We start from the raw sequence: 16,166 nt of genomic DNA on the forward strand, positions 1-16,166 counted from the left end.
CGAGCTTGATCACCTCCCAGGGACCAACCACTAATCCAACCCAGAGCAGCTGGGGGCGGCAGGAGTGGCCTGCCAATTTGGATGAACCTCGCGTCCCCACTAACAAAGTGAAAGTGGTTCACTGGATCTGCAGACAGCGACTGGGAGTGTGTGGGTGTGTGTGAACCTACCCGGGACATGAGAGAGGCTAGTTTCCTCCAATAAGGAGTCCTGGGGTAGGAGTGGTGTGTGTATGTGTGTGAATGTAGGAGCCTAACTAGGCTCACCCGGGACACGAGAGAGGCTCGTTTCCTCCAATAAGGAGTCCTGGGGCAAAGGAGGTGTGTGAAAGTGTGTGAAAGAGACGGTCTCGGGAGAGGCCAATGCAGGGAGTGACATGGGGAAGCACAGATCCCTTAGTGCAGGCTGTGTGCTCCGAGGCGAGTGCGGGTGAAATCAGACGTAGGACGTTGCATATGGCAGATAAGACCAGCTCTACAGCCGCAGCAGGCTGTGAGAGGGGAAGGCACATTCCTGGCTAAGCAGCGTCCGAAACTCCAGGACCAGGTCTGGTGGACCCAAGAGTGAAAGTGAGTGAGAGTGTGCCACAAGGGAGGAAATGGGAGGGGAAGTGTCTAAACCAACTCCTTTGAAGTGCATGATAAAGAACTTTAAAAAAGGATTTAGAGGTGATTATGGGATGAAATTGGATGCTCAAAAGTTAAGGACATACTGTGAAATAGATTGGTCTGCTTTCAATGTGGGGTGACCCTCTGAAGCTACAATAGACAGGGAATTAATTGGCCGTGTGTTTAAGGTGGTCATTGGAGTTGGAGGACAACCAGGATACCCAGACCAGTTTCCCTGTATGGACACTTGGCTCAGTGTGGCACAAACTTGCCCCAGGTGGCTACAGCCCTGCCTAGAGGGATATTACAAGGCATCAGTGGCCCAGGCAGCCCAACCAAAGGAAAAAAGAAAAACCAAAAATAGAAACAAAGAGATGGCTCAGTGTATAGCTGACGCACTAGCAAGAAAGTAACCCTGGATTTGCTAGAGGGTGTGGCCAAGGAAGAGGCCAAGGAAGAGGGCAGACAAGACAGGGAGAGGAAGCTGGTCCCGGCTGGACAGGAACCAATGTGCAAGGTGCAGACAAATGGGCCACTGGAAACATGAGTGTCCCCAAAAGGAAACGGATGGAGATGATGGTCAATGGTCTAACACCCAAGTGTGGCATTCAGTTGCTGGTCATAGTGCTTCAAAGGCAGATCCTGATCTGACTGGCTTAGCGGGGGCTGAGAATTTTGAGGACTGAGACAGACTGGGCTCCATCTTTTTAGGCCCCAGGGAGCCTGTGGTCTCTATGGAAGAAGGGGGCCAATTAATGGATCTTTTGGTCAATACTGGTGCTGATTTCTCTGTGGTAACTCGCCCAATTAGCACCCACAAAAAGAACTATGCTGCTATCATGGGAGCTACTAGGGCCAAAGACGTGACACCTTTTTCCAAATACAGGAGATGTGTTATTGGAGGACAAGAAGTGCAGCATGAGTTTCTATATATGCCAAATTCTTCAGTGCCCTTGTTGAGGAGAGACTTGCTCCAAAAACTGCAGGCACAAATTTCCTTTACACCTAAAGGGAATGTGACCCTGGAGATAGGGAAGCCAAAGGCAATGGTATTGACTCATGGCTAAGTGAATGCAGCCCTGCCTAGCAGTTTATTGTAGAACGTCACAGCCCACGCCAAGAGAGAAATCAGCTGCGCTGGCAGCTACAGAGTTAAAGGGAAAGTCACAGAGGCTTGTAGCACCACTGAGCCAAAAGCAAAAGTAAAAATCAGCTGCCCTGGAAGCTATGGGGACGAATGAAAAGTCTCAGAAAAGAAAGAGAAAAACCGTTCTGCAAGAACCACAGGAGGGAATAGAGACCACCCCTCCCTATATTCCAATCTGCCCCCCTTTACCAAGGCTAACTGCACCTAAGGAGTCAAGTTCAAACAGATACATGCTCCCAGTCTCACCTGAGAGGGAGAAATCAGAGCTCCGGGAAGTTAAAGTGAAAGGCTCAAAAAGTCAGGCAGGCCGTCTCAGGCCCGGCCATGCCCAAGTTAAACTTACGCCTCTTCAGAGGACAAGAGAACCCCCACCAGGATCCGATGATGCAGCCCAGCTTCAGCACCTACAAAGGTGCCAAGAAACATTTCTGCAAAGGCTAAAGGAAGGTAAAAGAGAAAGGCAACCAATATAAAAAATCTCAGAGGACAGGCCGGGCATGGTGGCTCACACCTGTAATCCCAGCACTTTGGGAGGCCGAGGTGGGCGGATCGCAAGGTCAGGAGATCGAGACCATCCTGGCTAACACGGTGAAAACCCGTCTCTACTAAAAAAATACAAAAAAATTAGCCGGGCGTGGCGGCGGGCGCCTGTAGTCCCAGCTACTCAGGAGGCTGAGGCAGGAGAATGGCGTGAACCCGGGAGGCAGAGCTGGCAGTGAGCCAAGATCGCGCCACTGCACTCCAGCCTGGGCGACAGAGCGAGACTCCGTCTAAAAACACACACACACACACACACACACACAAAATCTCAGAGGTTCTCCAGGGTGCAAATAAAAGCACCAGTCAGTTTTATAATAGACTTCGTAAGGCATTTTGGTTGTACACTCCGTTTAACCCTGAGGCTGCTGAAAATCAGCACATGGTGAATACGACATTTGTAAGGCAGGCCCAAGGAGATATCGGGCATAAATTACAGAAGTTGGAAGCTCCGCAGGCGTGAATGCTACTCAGCTTATTAAAGTGGCTACCAAGGTGTACATTAACGGAGATCAGGAGGCTGATCAGAGGCTTAAGAAAGGCTAATTTACTAGCAGCAGCGCTTACAGGAAGAGAAGCTAGCTTTGCAAGAAGGCATGGACGCGGGCGTGAATGCAGTCGTGGAAAAAGCTAATAAACTGACTTTAGAGACTAAATACCCTAAACCAAGCTACACTGCTCCTCATCAAGTCAGTGCCAAGAGGCCCCCTTCATTGCTGTGTGGACTTGGTAGATAAAGTGTTCTCAAGCCAGAGAGATGTACCAGATCGGCCCCTCGGGGACTCAGACATTGAATACTCTACTGATGGAAGCAATTTCATACTAAAGGGAGTCCACCAAGCTGGGTACGCAGTGGTGACTTCGGACTCAGTAGTAAAGGTGCAGTCTTTGCCTACAGAAACTTCTGCTTAGAAATCAGAGCTGATAGCTCTGACAAGAACTCCCTGGCTAGGAAAAGACCAAAAGACAAATATTTACAAAGATTCCAAATATGCTTCTGCCACTTTGCATGTTCATGAGGCTATTTACAAAAAAAAAAAAAAAAAAAAGCCTTTTAACTACTGAAAGTAAAAAAAAAAAAAAGCACAAGGAAGAAATTTTGCAGCTCTTAGATGCTGTATGAGCCCCAAAAGAGGTGGCCATGATGCCCTGCGAGAGGCACCGAAAAGCAAGAACACCAAAGGCTAAAAAAAATAGAAAGGCAAAAAGGCAAAGCAGGCTGCAGTGACAACTCCACCTTCTAAAGAGGAGGCCTCAGCTATGCCTCTCCTCCCGGAGATTCCCTCCCAGAGATCCCAAGCACCCCTGCAAATAAAAGGGCTTGGTTTGCCCAGAAAAATAAGAACTACATTGAAGGAGGACGGTAAAATTCTCCAATGGGAGGCCATACCTGAAATGGTGACCCCGATTTGTAGAACAGTTCCACCAAGGAACTCACATGGGAAAAAAAACAAACAGCACTAAAGACATTATTAAGGCATCATTTCTATGTGCCATGGCTCGCTGCTATTACTCAAGCCATTTGTAAACAAACAGTGTTTAACTTGTGTTCAGAACAATCCATAACAAGGGCCTGCTTGGCCCCCAGGAGTTCAGGAAACATGAGCCAGCCATGCCCTGTGAAAAGCTGCTTATGGACTTCGCCAAATTGCCCTGAAAGGGGGGCTATCAGTGCATGTGGGTGTTCATTTGCACCTTTTCAGGATAAGTCGAGGCCTTCTCCATCTGGACAGAGAAGGCACTAGAAGTGACTCAGGTGTTGTTAGGAGACGTTATTCCCAGATTTGGACTGCCTCTGAGATCAGACAATGGACCAACATTTGTGGCTGCAAGAGTTCAGGACTTAACTAGACTATTAAAAATAAAGTGGAAATTGCGTACATCCTACAGGCCACAGAGCTCAAGTACAGTGCACGAACCAGACACTCAAACAGCTGCTGAAAAAATTTTGTCAAGAAACTCATCTAAAATAAGATCGGGTCTCGCCCATGGTCCTCCTCCAAGTCAGGTACACCCCCACCAAACAAACTGGGTATTCGTCCCGTGAAATATTGTTCAGAAGGCTGCCCCCAATCATTAATCAAATTAGAGGGGATTTAAAAGAGTTAGGAGAGCTAACCCTTAGAAGACAGATGCACTCCTAAAGGAGTGACAATGCAAGAGATGCATGGCTAAGTATTAAAAAAAAAAAAAATGCCTATAAGTCTAACAGACCCAGTACACCCTTTCAAACCTAGGGTCTGTGTTTAGGTTAAAAAATAAAATCCAACCACTCTAGGACCCATATAGGATAGGCCCCATATTGTGATCAGGAACTGATCAACATGTTCAAACAATAAGAAAATAGTCATATTAAATGTAAAGATTGGTGGGACACAGTGGCTCACGCCTGTAATCCCAGCACTTTAGGAGGCCGAGGCAGACAGATTATCTGAGGTCAGGAGTTGGAGACCAGCCCGACCAACATGGAGAAACCCCATCTCTACTAAAAATGCAAAATTACCCAGGTGTGGTGGTGCATGCCTGTAGTCCCAGCTGCTTGGGAGGCTGAGACAGGAGAATCCCTTGAACCCGGAAGGCAGAGGTTGCAGTGAGCTGAATTCGTACCACTGCACTCCAGCCTGGGCGACAGAACAAGACTCTGTCTTAAATAAATAAATAAATAAATAAAATAAATAAATAAATAAATAGTATCTTATACATTTAAAGCAACCCGAGGAAGCAAATCAGGGGAGGTTCAAAAAAATGAATAAGGGAGTAAGAATAGGAATAAAGAAAGAAATTGAAATCCCGGTGATTAACATTTTCGTAGCCTGTTCAAATGTAAGTATGTAGTCTATTCTGGGATCACTGTGATTTGGGGTTTGCTTTCTACCTCTTAAGCTATTTAAAACACTGAGAAGGCAATATTCCAACTTTCATTTAAATGAAATATTCAGAATTTTGATTAAAATAAATAATAAATTACACAAGTTTACAAGTAACAGTTAAATATTTAGGGACATGTACTAAGTTTTACAAACAGTACAAATATTTAAGAGTGTTGATTGGGAGTAAGGGAATGTCAACTGCCAATAAAGTGGAAGATGAAAGAATAGGACTTTACACAGAGCATATTTAGTTATGGGTCTCTGTCTCCTCCCCACACAGAAAAACTCCCAGACATTCATGACTTCATCCACCCTGCCTGGCAGATAGGCCATATTTCCTGACCCCCTGGCTCTTCACCTCAAAAGGTTTATCTTTCCACCACACTAGCAAAGACCCTCAGGACACACAACTCATACTGCCAGCTAAGCATCTACCCCGAGGGACAAGGCAAGCACACACTAGGGCAGCTGGGCCATCCTGGCCCTAATCCCTCCAGCGGTGTCCACACTGAGCATTGCAGCACTTGTAGAAGGTGGTCATCGGCTCATCTGCAGAGCGGGTCTGAAGCTGCATGAAGTAAGCACGAGGATGTTCGCATTTGGGACACGACTCTGGCAATGAGAAAAAAGAAGTGACCACATTTAAAAAAAGATGCTACTCATGGCTGTCAAAAGTAGGTATTACTTAATATGTGGGAGGCCAAGGCGGGCGGATCACCTGAGGTCAGGAGTTCGAGACCATCCTGGCCAACATGGTGAAACCCCATCTCTACTAAAAATACAAAATTAGCCAGGCGTGGTGGCGGGCGCCTTTAATCCCAGCTACTTGGGAGGCTGAGGCAGGAGAATCGCTTGAACCCAGGAGGCAGAGATTGCAGTGAGCCAAGATCGTGCCACTGCACTCAAAAAAAAAAAAAAAAAAAAAAAGTAGGTATTACTATAATATCTTTTTTTTTTTTTTTTGAGATGGAATCTCGCAGTCACCCAGGCTGGAGTGCAGTGGGGCGATCTCAGCTCACTGCAACCTCTGCCTCCCGGGTTCATGTGATTCTCCTTGCCTCAGCCTCCCAAGTAGCTGGGATTACAGTTGCCCGCCACCACACCCGGCTAATTTTTTTGTATTTTTAGTAGAGACAGGTTTTCACTATGTTGGCCAGGCTGGTCTCGAACTCCTGACCTCATGATCCGCCCACCTCAACCTCCCAAAGTGCTGGGATTACAGGCATGAGCCACCGTGCCCAGACTACTTAATATCTTTAAAGATGGTAAAGAACCTCCCTGCTCATTTGATCCCCCTTGACAAGGGTAGATCTACAAACAGTGATGTCATTCCCACCACGCTGTAACACTAAGGGAATCTGGGAGACCTGTGACTCACACACTCTCCCCCTCCCCTCCCTGAGTCCCATGGTTCTTCTCAAATCCAGCTGAAGGCTGGTTGGAAACGTAACATGGAAGGTGACTGTTTTGGTCCATTTTGTGCTGCTGTAACAAAATGCCTAAGACTAAGTAATGGTTAGATGGTGGAAGAGTTTTGAAGTAAATGCTGGGAAAAGCCTGCATTGTCAAGAATTGAGCATTAAGGGCCGGGCGCGGTGGCTCACGCCTGTAATCCCAGGACTTTGGGAGGCCAAGGCAGGCGGATCACGAGGTCAGGAGATCGAGACCATCCTGGCTAACATGGTGAAACCCCGTCTCTACTAAAAACACAAAAAATTAGCCAGGCGTGGTGTCGGGTGCCTGCAGTCCCAGCTACTCGGGAGGCTGAGGCAAGAGAATTGCGTGAACCCGGGAGGCGGAGCTTGCAGTGAGCCGAGATCGCGCCACTGCACTCCAGCTTGGGCAACAGAGTGAGACTCCATCTCAAAAAAAAAAAAGAATTGAGCATTAAGGGCGATTCTGGTGTGGGCTGAAAAGAAGAGAAGAGGCCGGGTATGGTGGCTCTTGCCTGTAATCCCAGAACTTTGGGAGGCTGAGGCAGGTGGATCACGAGGTCGGGAGGTCAAGACCAGCCTAGCCAAGATGGTGAAACCCCGTCTCTACCAAAACTACAAAAATTAGCCGGGCGTGGTGGCAGGTGCCTGTAATCCCAGCTACTAGGGAGGCTGAGGCAGGAGAATCGCTTGAACCCGGGCAGCATAGGTTTGCAGTGAGCAGAGATCGTGCCACTACACTCCAGCCTGGGCAAAAGAGACTCCATCTCAAAAAAAAAGCCAGGCACAGTGGCTCAGGCCTGTAATCCCAGCACTTTGGGAGGCTGAGGCCAACAGATCACCTGAGGTCGGGAGTTCGTGACCAGCCTTATCAACATGGAGAAACCCCATCTCTACTAAAAATACAAAATTAGCTGGGCGTGGTGGCGCATGCCTGTAATCCCAGCTACTCATGAGGCCGAGGAAGGAGAATCACTTGAACCTGGGAAGTGGAGGTTGCAGTGAGCCGAGATCACACCATTGCACTCTTCAAAGCGATTTCACTTTGAGAAACTTATCCTACACCTGACAGAAATGGCTTCAAACACTCTATTTCTGACATTAGGTAAAAAGATTTTTTTTTTTTAGACAGTCTCACTCAGGCTGGAGTGGCATGGTCTCGGCTCACTGCAACCTCCGCCTCCTGGTTCAAGCAATTCTCCTGCCTCAGCCTCCTGAGTAGCTAGGACTACAGGCACGCGCCACTGAGCCTGGCTAATTTGTTTTTTTTTTTTTTTTGAGACGGAGTTTTGCTCCTGTTGCCTGGGCTAGAGTGCAATAGCACGATCTCAGCTCACTACAACCTCCGCCTCACAGGTTCAAGCGATTCTCCTGTCTCAGCCTCCCAAGTAGCTGGGATTACAGGCAGGCACCACCACGCTCAGCTACTTTTTGTATTTTTAGTGGAGACGGGGTTTCACCATGTTGGCCAGGATGGTCTCGATGTCTTGACCTCGTGATCCGCCCACATTGGCCTCCCAAAATGCTGGGATTATAGGTGTGAGCCACCGTGCCAGCTGCTAACTTTTTCACATAGCAGATTTGTATGTTCTTTTTTTTGACAGAGTTTCGTTCTTGTTGCCCAGGCTGGAGTGCAATGATGCAATCTTGGCTCACTGCAACCTCCACTTCCCGGGTTCAAGCGATTCTCCTGTCTCAGCCTCCCGAGTAGCTGGGATTACAGGTGCTGCCACCACGCCTGGCTAATTTTTTGTATTTTTAGCAGAAATGGGGTTTCACCGTGTTAGCCAGGCTGGTCTCGAACTCCTGACCTCAGGTGATCCGCCCGCCTCGGCCTCCCAAAGTGCTGAGATTGCAGGCGTGAGCCACCACACCCAGCCTATATGTTCTTTTATAGGGGGAAAACCACAGTACTAACCATCAGTTATCTCTCTCACCTCTCAATATAACTTACATTTACGTCTTCCCCTTTCCTCTCCTGGCCACATCTATGTCTACCAGACATGCAATAAACATGTATTTTACCCAATCTGCAGTTTAATGCTCACTGGTATTAACTTCTAAAAATCTATATTAGAAGCGTGTATTAGTCCGTTCTCACACTGCTATGAATACCTGAGACTGGGTAATTTATATAGACAAAAGGGGTTTTGTTTGTTTTGAGACAGAGTCTCACTCTTGTCACCGAGGCTAGAGTGCAGTAGTGTGATCTCGGCTCACTGCAACCTCTGCCTCCTGGGTTCAAGCAATTCTCGTACCTCAGCCTCCTGAGCAGTTGGGTCTACAGGCGAGCGCCACCACACCCGGCTAATTATTTTATCTTTAATAGAGACAGGGTTTCACCATGCGGGCCAGGCTGGTCTGGAACTCCTGACCTCAAGTGATCTGCCTACCTTGGCCTCCCAAACTGCTGGGATTTACAGGCGTGAGCCACGACACCCAGCCAAGAAAAGAGGTCTAATTTACTCACAGTTCTGCGTGGCTGGGGATGCCTCAGGAAACCTACAATCATGGCGAAAGGAACCTCTTCACAGAGCAGCAGGAGACAGAATGAGTGCGAGCAGGGGAAACGCAAACGCTTATAAAACGATCTGATCTTGTGAGAACTCACTCACTATCAGGAGAACAGCATGGGGGGAAACCGCTCCCATGATTCAATTACCTCCCACTGGGCCCCTCCCAGGACACCTGGGGATTACGGAAACTATAATTCAAGATGAGATTAGGGTGGAGACACAGCCAAACCATATCAAACAGAAAGAACATACTTTTTTCCTTAGACTCTTATTTTTATTAATCTACTCATCATTGCCATTATCAAAGCTATCACCTGTTGAGTGCCTCTTATATACCAAGCACGGTATAATTCACTTTATGCTCTCGCGGTCTACGAATATGGATTAGCCCCAGAGAAGTCAAGAGACCCAAGGAAGGTCCTACAACAATACAAGGTTGCCCTGAGAATCTGACCCGGGCCTGTATGACTCCAAGGCTGGCACAAATATTGCTTGTCTGACAGATTATTAAACAGTAACAAATACAAATAAATTATTCAAGAACCATTTTCTATTTTTAGAAACCTACATCATTTATATGACATCATAGACTCTGCCAAGCAGTGGCATCAACAGCCTCATAATTATCCACAGTTTAGCAACAGAAACAGTTTTCCCTCTTACCTGCAGTAGAGTCAACATTCTCCCAGGCAGCTGCTCCACCAAGCACATCATCCACTTCTTTCAGTTTTGGGTACTTCCGATTTGTTACCTAACAAAAACAACACTTCAGACTCCAAGTAACTGAATAGCGCAAACCTGGGCTGCCAAACCTTAAATTTCAGGATTACATAAGAGTTCACTCGGCTGGGCGTGGTGGCTGACACCTGTAATCCCAGCACTTTGGGAGGCCAAGACGGGCGGATCACGAGGTCAAGAGATCGAGACCATCCTGGCTAACACGGTGAAACCCTGTCTCTACTAAAAATACAAAAAATTAGCCCGGCGTGTTGGCGGGCGCCTGTAGTCCCAGCTACTCAGGAGGCTGAGGCAGGAGAATGGTGTGAACCTGGGAGGCGGAGCTTGCAGTGAGCCGAGATCACACCACTGCACTCCAGCCTGGGCTACGGAGCAAGACTCCATCTCAAAAAAAAAAAAAAACAAAGAGTTCACTCTTCCCGTAGTTTCAAACTCCAAACTCCCACAACACAGTACAAACTGGAGTAGCATGCAAACATTAAGACTGACGTAGCACCAACATATTCTAACTGCTAAAAAGTAAAGGTATTCTGGCCAGGCGTGGTGGCTCACGCCTATAATCCCAGCACTTTGGGAGGCCAAGGCAAGCGGATCACCTGAGGTTGGGAGTTCGAGACCAGCCTGGCCAGCGCGGTGAAACCCCGTCTTTACTAAAAATACAAAAATTAGCCGGGGATGGTGGCAGGCGCCTGTAATTCCAGCTACTCGGGAAGCCGAGGCAGAAGAATTGCTTGAACCCGGGAGGCAGAGGTTGCAGTGAGCCGAGATTACGCCATTGCACTCCAGCCTGGGAAACAGAGCGAGACTCTGTCTCAAAAAAAAAAAAAAAAAAAAAAAAAAAAAAAAAAAAAAAAAGGTCGGGCGCGGTGGCTCACGCCTGTAATCCCAGCACTTTGGGAGGCCGAGGCGGGCAGATCACGAGGTCAGGAGACCGTCCTGGCTAACACACGGTGAAACCCCATCTCTACTAAAAATACAAAAAAATCAGCCAGGGGTGGTGGCGGACGCCTGTAGTCCCAGCTAATTGGGAGGCTGAGGCAGGAGAGTGGCGTGAACCCGGGAGGCAGAGCTTGCAGTGAGCCGAGATCGCGCCACTGCACTCCAGCCTGGGCGACAGAGCGGGACTCCGTCTCAAAAAAAAAAAAAAAAAAAAAAAAAAAAAACAATAAAAAAAAATAAAGAAAGCACACAATACATTACATAATATATTAGAAGGTAATAAGCCCTATGGAAACAATTACAAAGGGAAGGAGAATAAATTGGAAGGAGGGGCTGAAATTTAAAATACGGTAAAGACAAGACCAATGAGTAAGGTGGCGATCTAGGGGAAGAGTGAACTGAGCAACAGCAAGTGCAAAGGCCCTGCTAGCACCATGAGCACGATGAGAGATCGTCCAGGAGGCGGTGTTGATGCGGCAAAGGGCAACAGGAAGGGCATTAGGACTTGAAATCGGAGACGCACGCAGGGGAGGGAGTCAGTGTCGGAACCTGGTAGGCCCTGGGAGAACTCCGGCTTTTCGTCTGCGTGAGCTGGAGAAGAGCCGAAGGTTTCTGCGCACAGCACGGACCTGCGTGCCTCAGCTTTAAGGAAATCACCGTGGCCGCCGCTGTGAACGCAGAGAAGGGCGCGAGCGTGGGAGCAGGAACCCAAGGCGGTGGGAAACGGTGGGGCTTTCTGAGTGTATTGGAAAGTAGAGCCCACAGATCTGCTGCAGACCAGAAAGGGGCGCGAGAAAGAGCGGACAGAGGCAGACGCCGGGGCTGGCGGCGATGGAGCAGCAGTCGGAGGACGCGGAAGGCCTGCGAGAGTCGCCCGCGCCCAGCGCCGGCCTTCGGGTCCCACCTTGCGGGTGATGTTGTGCACGTAGGGGCACGTGTTGCAGGCGAAGCGGTGGCAGCGTTGTCCCTCCTCCACGATCAGCCCGTTCCCGCAGCCGGGGCAGAACAGCAGCATGGTCTCGAACTCCGCAGGCTCCAACTCCCGGCAGCTCCCACTGCCGCTCAGCGCCGATGCGCCGCCCGCCTCGAGCTCACATTGGTCCTGGCAGCCTTCCCGCCACACCAACCAACCAATAGACAGGGCGATTCTGCGCTCCCGGCCCTGCTGCAGGCTGTCTCGCACTTGTCATTGGTCACTGCAGCCGCCCCACCCCCCCCGGCGCGCCAGTGGCTGGGCGGCCTCGCTGGGGCGGGCCGCAGTTCCTGCGCGTGCGCGCTTGGCCTCCCTAGTGCGGGCTGGCAGTGCGGGCAGAGCCCGGCTGAGAGGGGCGGCCCTGGAGGAGACGGAGGCCGCGGGTGGGCCCGAGGCGCAAGAGGAAGATGAGGACGAAGAAGAGGCGCTGCCGCACTCCGAGGCCATGGACGTGTTCCAGGAGGGTCTGGCTATGGTGGTGCAGGACCCGCTGCTCTGCGATCTGCCGATCCAGGTGTGTGCGGGCGGGGGCTGGGGGCGCGGGAGTCGTTCCCCGGGGTCCGGGCATCCGGGCGCCGGCAGCCTCCGAAGGTGCTGGTGGGAGACTGCGGCCCAAGGCTGAGGAAGGCGCCTCTGGGCGTAAACGAGGGTTTTAACCTTGACCGGGCGCACTCGCCTGGGGCGCGAAGCTTAAAGAGGAACCAAAAACCTCATTAGTGAGTGACATCAAATGACATTTTAATGTAATTGTATTTAGGGGGCTCGGGGGACAGGGTCTTGCTGCGTTGCCCGGGCTGGAGTGCAGCGGCGTCCTCCCACCTCAGCCTCCCGAGTAATTGGGACCACAGGTGCGCGCTACCACACCCGGCTAATTTTTAAATATTTTGTACAGAGGGAGTCTCACTATGTTGCCCAGGCTGATCTGAAACTCCTGGGCTCAGGCGATCCTCCTGCCTCGGCCTCCCAAAATGCTGGGATTTAGGTGTGAGCCACCCGCCTGGCCTGTAATACCTTTAAAAGTCAAAGTTGAGGCAAAAAAAGAGCCTACGGTAAAAGAAAAATTTAGTTTTAAATAAGAGCAAGATTAGTAGTACTGATTGTTCCATTTGCCTCAAGCGTCAATCATGTGTCAAAGCGTCAGTATCATGCTTTGGGACGATACTGTCTTTTTATTTATTTATTTATTTATTTGAGACTGAGTCTTGGTCCGTTGCCAGGCTGGAGTGTAGTGGTGCCATCTCGACTCACTGCAACCTCCCCCTCCCGGGTTCACTACAGGCACGCGCCACCACGCCCGGCTAATTTTTTGTATTTTTAGTAGAGACGGGGCTTCACCATGTTGGGCCAGGATGGTCTTGATCTCCTGACCTCATGATCCGCCCGCCTCGGCCTCCCAAAGTGCTGGGATTACAGGCGTGAGCCACCGCGCCCGGCCAATTTTAAATGTTTTATATTTTGCTCATCATGGATATTTTAATTGCCTTGTATTTCTTAAATGTTGTATTAAAATATTTATTGTTATTACCGTGTTTTGCTGCCCCGGTAAATTTTGCACACCTGCCTTACTCAGTCCCGAAGCCTGGCCTGGGTCCTGATGATCAGGGATATACTCAGCGTGAACTGACAGGCCTCTACCCACCCCTGGGGGCAGGTCCTCATGTGAGTTTATTCTCTTGCCTGTTTCTTAGCACCTCTTTCCCCCAGAGACTCTGTCCACTATGGACATTAAAATGTGAGTGGAACATGAGATTGGGGCTCTGATGAATTGGGAAACCATAACGTACAGGCAACCACCCTTCCTTGCCCTTCGTAAAATGGAGCACCACTTTTTGGCCACTATCGGCTTGTTCTTTGTTGTTGCTCAAGGTGGTAAAGAGAGCCAGGGTTCCCACTTCTGCCCTTGGTCTTTTGTAGGTTACTCTGGAAGAAGTCAACTCCCAAATAGCCCTAGAATACGGCCAGGCAATGACGGTCCGAGTGTGCAAGATGGATGGAGAAGTAATGCGTAAGTGCTACCCTCCTCCCTTCAGGTTATGTGGTCCAGGCTTTCACAGCAGGAAGACCTAACAGTGCTGGTCAGCCTGCTCAGAAACTCACAGGCCATGCCCAGGGGTACTGGGGCAACCACAAACCTGCCCTGTGCACAGAGGTGTTGGTTCCTTTCCTGCCATCGGAGGCTGTGGCTTTGGGTTCTCACCATGGATCTTCTCCCATCTGTGTCCGTGGTTGCAGCCGTGGTTGTAGTGCAGAGTGCCACAGTCCTGGACCTGAAGAAGGCCATCCAGAGATACGTGCAGCTCAAGCAGGAGCGTGAAGGGGGCATTCAGCACATCAGCTGGTAAGTGGAACAACATTCCCTTCATTATAGCCCTTCGTGGGGCTAGTGCCCTTCTTGGCACTGTCACCAGGCACCACCTGGAAACAGCTCTCAGCTCTGCATGAGTACAGCACCACTGAAGTGATGAGCTCCCTGTCACAAGAGTGATGAGCTCCCTGTCACAGACAGTGCGGGTCGTTCTGTGCCTGGGACTCCTGCCTCGGCCATCCCCAACATTCTGCTCTTCCATCGGCATCACCCCATCCGAGCTGCTGGGTATCTTCACTTGGGGACACTGTCGGGAATTTCCAGTGTGTCTGGAAGTGGCCTCCCTAGTTTTGGATGGTACACCTGTAGGGGCTCCCATCCCCTTCTCACCTGGGTGCTGTCAGCCCTCACTCTCCTATTGGATCAACTATCCTGTTCACTGAGTCTCAACACTGTCGCCTGTTGCATTAGCAAGGTTTGTTTGGCCAAGCCGCCCCAGACAGCCCTCTGAGAACAGAGCCTCCTTGTAGCTGCCTCAGACCCAATCTGCACATTGTACAGAACAGCCCAGGTAGGGAGGACAGCTGCCCCAGGTCCCATAGGACTGCATGCCTCAAGCCCACGTCATGCAGAGCCACTCAGCTCACCCTGCTCAGGGCACGTGGTTTACCTGCATTCCCCTCTTGCAGGTCCTACGTGTGGAGGACGTACCATCTGACCTCTGCAGGAGAGAAACTCACGGAAGACAGAAAGAAGCTCCGAGAGTAAGTGCCGGCCACGTCCTGAGCCGTAGGGCACCGCTGTTCTGTTGCCCCTTAGTCCCCCATGCTCTGCCAGAGGGCTGCGGCTCCCTCTCCGGAGATAACACCCTCCTCCAAGGAGCTTCCTTGGGGCCCTCCCCACTAGGAGAATGGCAGGCAGAGGGCAGCTGGAGGGGCCTTGCTGCTTCCCACCAGTGGCAGCTTAGGGCTACACAGTGCCAGGAGGGAGGAAATCAGAGTGGGCATGGAGGCGAAAGGCTGTGACTCTATCTGACACTCAGTTCCCTGCCCCGGGGACTTGTGAGTCGGAGTGCTTCTGGGTCTGTGAGAGGATGGCCACTGCACTTCCTGGCCTTCCCAGAAGCCACACGCCTCCCCTCTGTTGTTTCTTCGTGGTCCTCCACAGCCTCAGGAGGGGAGTCACAGATATGTCCTTCTGTAGGGCAGGTGCTTTATGCCTTTCCTTCTTTTTCAGCTACGGCATCCGGAATCGAGACGAGGTTTCCTTCATCAAAAAGCTGAGGCAAAAGTGAGCCTCCAGACAGGACAACCCTCTTCATCACTGGTGGCTGAGCTTTTTCCCAGCAGGAATGGGTCCTCGAATCATCGTGCCTCTTTCACAGAAAGGACGTTGTGGTGGCCTCACCCCAGGCATGCCCAACAGTAACTGTCAGCATAAACCTGGGGGCCCTCAGGACTAGGACAGGGTGAGCCAGTGCTCCCTCCTTTCATGTACTTGGCCTGAGACTGACCTCTCCCTAGGTCCAAATGCCCTAGTCACATGGCAGACCCACGGCCTGGCCCACTGTATAAAATAAACCTGTTTGCTTCTTAGTTTGAAAAGTAGAAAGCCACAGTAACCTGGGTAGCAAAGACTGAGATTGCCCCATCACAGAGGTGAGTTAAGGGGAGAGAATTGGTACAGGCGAGTCCTATAGTCCAAGATGGCGCCACACCACCAAAGCCTTGAGGCCACACCACTCCCCAAACCACACAACTGTGTTACCATGATCTCCACAGCAAGGAGGAAATAAAAGCAGAGCGGCTTTAGGGTTTGCATCCTGGAGCTCACAGTGGCAGCAAGCATAGCACAGCTGTGTGTGGGCCCTCCAGCCTCAGCCTTTAGGGTTCCCTGCAGCAGGTTCGGTGGACAGGGAGGGAGTGTGGGGTGGAAATTGGAGCTGCTAAGGGTGGGGGCGGGGTGCTTCCCAGCATGTGGGGAGGGTATGACAGTACATCCCTAGGTCCCTGTCCCAGCGTCGGCTACCAGCCACTCTAAGAAAGAGCAAGGTGCACGTGCCTGGCTGAAGGATTTCACTGGGAAGTGAAAGAGCCCGTG

The 16,166-nt window shown here is 50.5% G+C and overlaps 2 protein-coding genes across 2 annotated transcripts, besides 4 other annotated features; one reads left to right on the forward strand and one right to left on the reverse strand.

The window, feature by feature from the left end:
- Positions 1 to 4,623: 4,623 nt before the first annotated feature.
- POLR3K (RNA polymerase III subunit K) lies at positions 4,624 to 11,825 on the reverse strand. The gene is made up of 3 exons (NM_016310.5): positions 11,693 to 11,825; positions 9,775 to 9,862; positions 4,624 to 5,774 (listed from the first exon to the last, which is right to left on the reverse strand). The coding sequence occupies exons 1-3, from the start codon at positions 11,801 to 11,803 to the stop codon at positions 5,647 to 5,649; spliced, it is 327 nt and encodes a 108-aa protein (NP_057394.3). The 5' UTR covers positions 11,804 to 11,825; the 3' UTR covers positions 4,624 to 5,646.
- Positions 11,091 to 11,617: an enhancer, noted in NCBI's record as "NANOG-H3K27ac-H3K4me1 hESC enhancer chr16:102874-103400 (GRCh37/hg19 assembly coordinates)". NCBI's record gives its function as "activates a minimal SCP1, AML or CMV promoter by ChIP-STARR-seq in primed H9 embryonic stem cells {active_cell/tissue: H9 hESC(primed)}" and the evidence as "EXISTENCE:reporter gene assay evidence [ECO:0000049][PMID:30033119]".
- Positions 11,346 to 11,505: an enhancer, noted in NCBI's record as "active region_10198". NCBI's record gives its function as "activates an Ori minimal core promoter by ATAC-STARR-seq in GM12878 lymphoblastoid cells {active_cell/tissue: GM12878}" and the evidence as "EXISTENCE:reporter gene assay evidence [ECO:0000049][PMID:35858748]".
- Positions 11,836 to 12,155: a silencer, noted in NCBI's record as "silent region_6897". NCBI's record gives its function as "represses an Ori minimal core promoter by ATAC-STARR-seq in GM12878 lymphoblastoid cells {active_cell/tissue: GM12878}" and the evidence as "EXISTENCE:reporter gene assay evidence [ECO:0000049][PMID:35858748]".
- On the forward strand, positions 12,045 to 15,886 carry SNRNP25 (small nuclear ribonucleoprotein U11/U12 subunit 25). Its single transcript, NM_024571.4, has 5 exons — positions 12,045 to 12,275; positions 13,676 to 13,766; positions 13,994 to 14,099; positions 14,756 to 14,830; positions 15,303 to 15,886. The coding sequence occupies exons 1-5, from the start codon at positions 12,234 to 12,236 to the stop codon at positions 15,358 to 15,360; spliced, it is 372 nt and encodes a 123-aa protein (NP_078847.2). The 5' UTR covers positions 12,045 to 12,233; the 3' UTR covers positions 15,361 to 15,886.
- Positions 12,296 to 12,395: a silencer, noted in NCBI's record as "silent region_6898". NCBI's record gives its function as "represses an Ori minimal core promoter by ATAC-STARR-seq in GM12878 lymphoblastoid cells {active_cell/tissue: GM12878}" and the evidence as "EXISTENCE:reporter gene assay evidence [ECO:0000049][PMID:35858748]".

This window comes from Homo sapiens, chromosome 16 (assembly GCF_000001405.40).
Source record: "Homo sapiens chromosome 16, GRCh38.p14 Primary Assembly".
NCBI classification, from domain to species: Eukaryota; Metazoa; Chordata; class Mammalia; order Primates; family Hominidae; genus Homo; species Homo sapiens.

What these genes read in the sequence shown, in the direction of transcription:
- POLR3K (NM_016310.5), bottom strand. Translation starts at nt 11,803, where the DNA reads ATGCTGCTGTTCTGCCCCGGCTGCGGGAACGGGCTGATCGTGGAGGAG. An exon ending in TGCACAACATCACCCGCAAG is followed by an intron (nt 9,863 to 11,692) that starts GTGGGACCCGAA and finishes TGTTTTTGTTAG; the next exon opens with GTAACAAATCGGAAGTACCC. An exon ending in GAATGTTGACTCTACTGCAG is followed by an intron (nt 5,775 to 9,774) that starts GTAAGAGGGAAA and finishes TCTCATTGCCAG; the next exon opens with AGTCGTGTCCCAAATGCGAA.
- SNRNP25 (NM_024571.4), top strand. Translation starts at nt 12,234, where the DNA reads ATGGTGGTGCAGGACCCGCTGCTCTGCGATCTGCCGATCCAG. An exon ending in TCTGCGATCTGCCGATCCAG is followed by an intron (nt 12,276 to 13,675) that starts GTGTGTGCGGGC and finishes GGTCTTTTGTAG; the next exon opens with GTTACTCTGGAAGAAGTCAA. An exon ending in GACAGAAAGAAGCTCCGAGA is followed by an intron (nt 14,831 to 15,302) that starts GTAAGTGCCGGC and finishes CTTCTTTTTCAG; the next exon opens with CTACGGCATCCGGAATCGAG.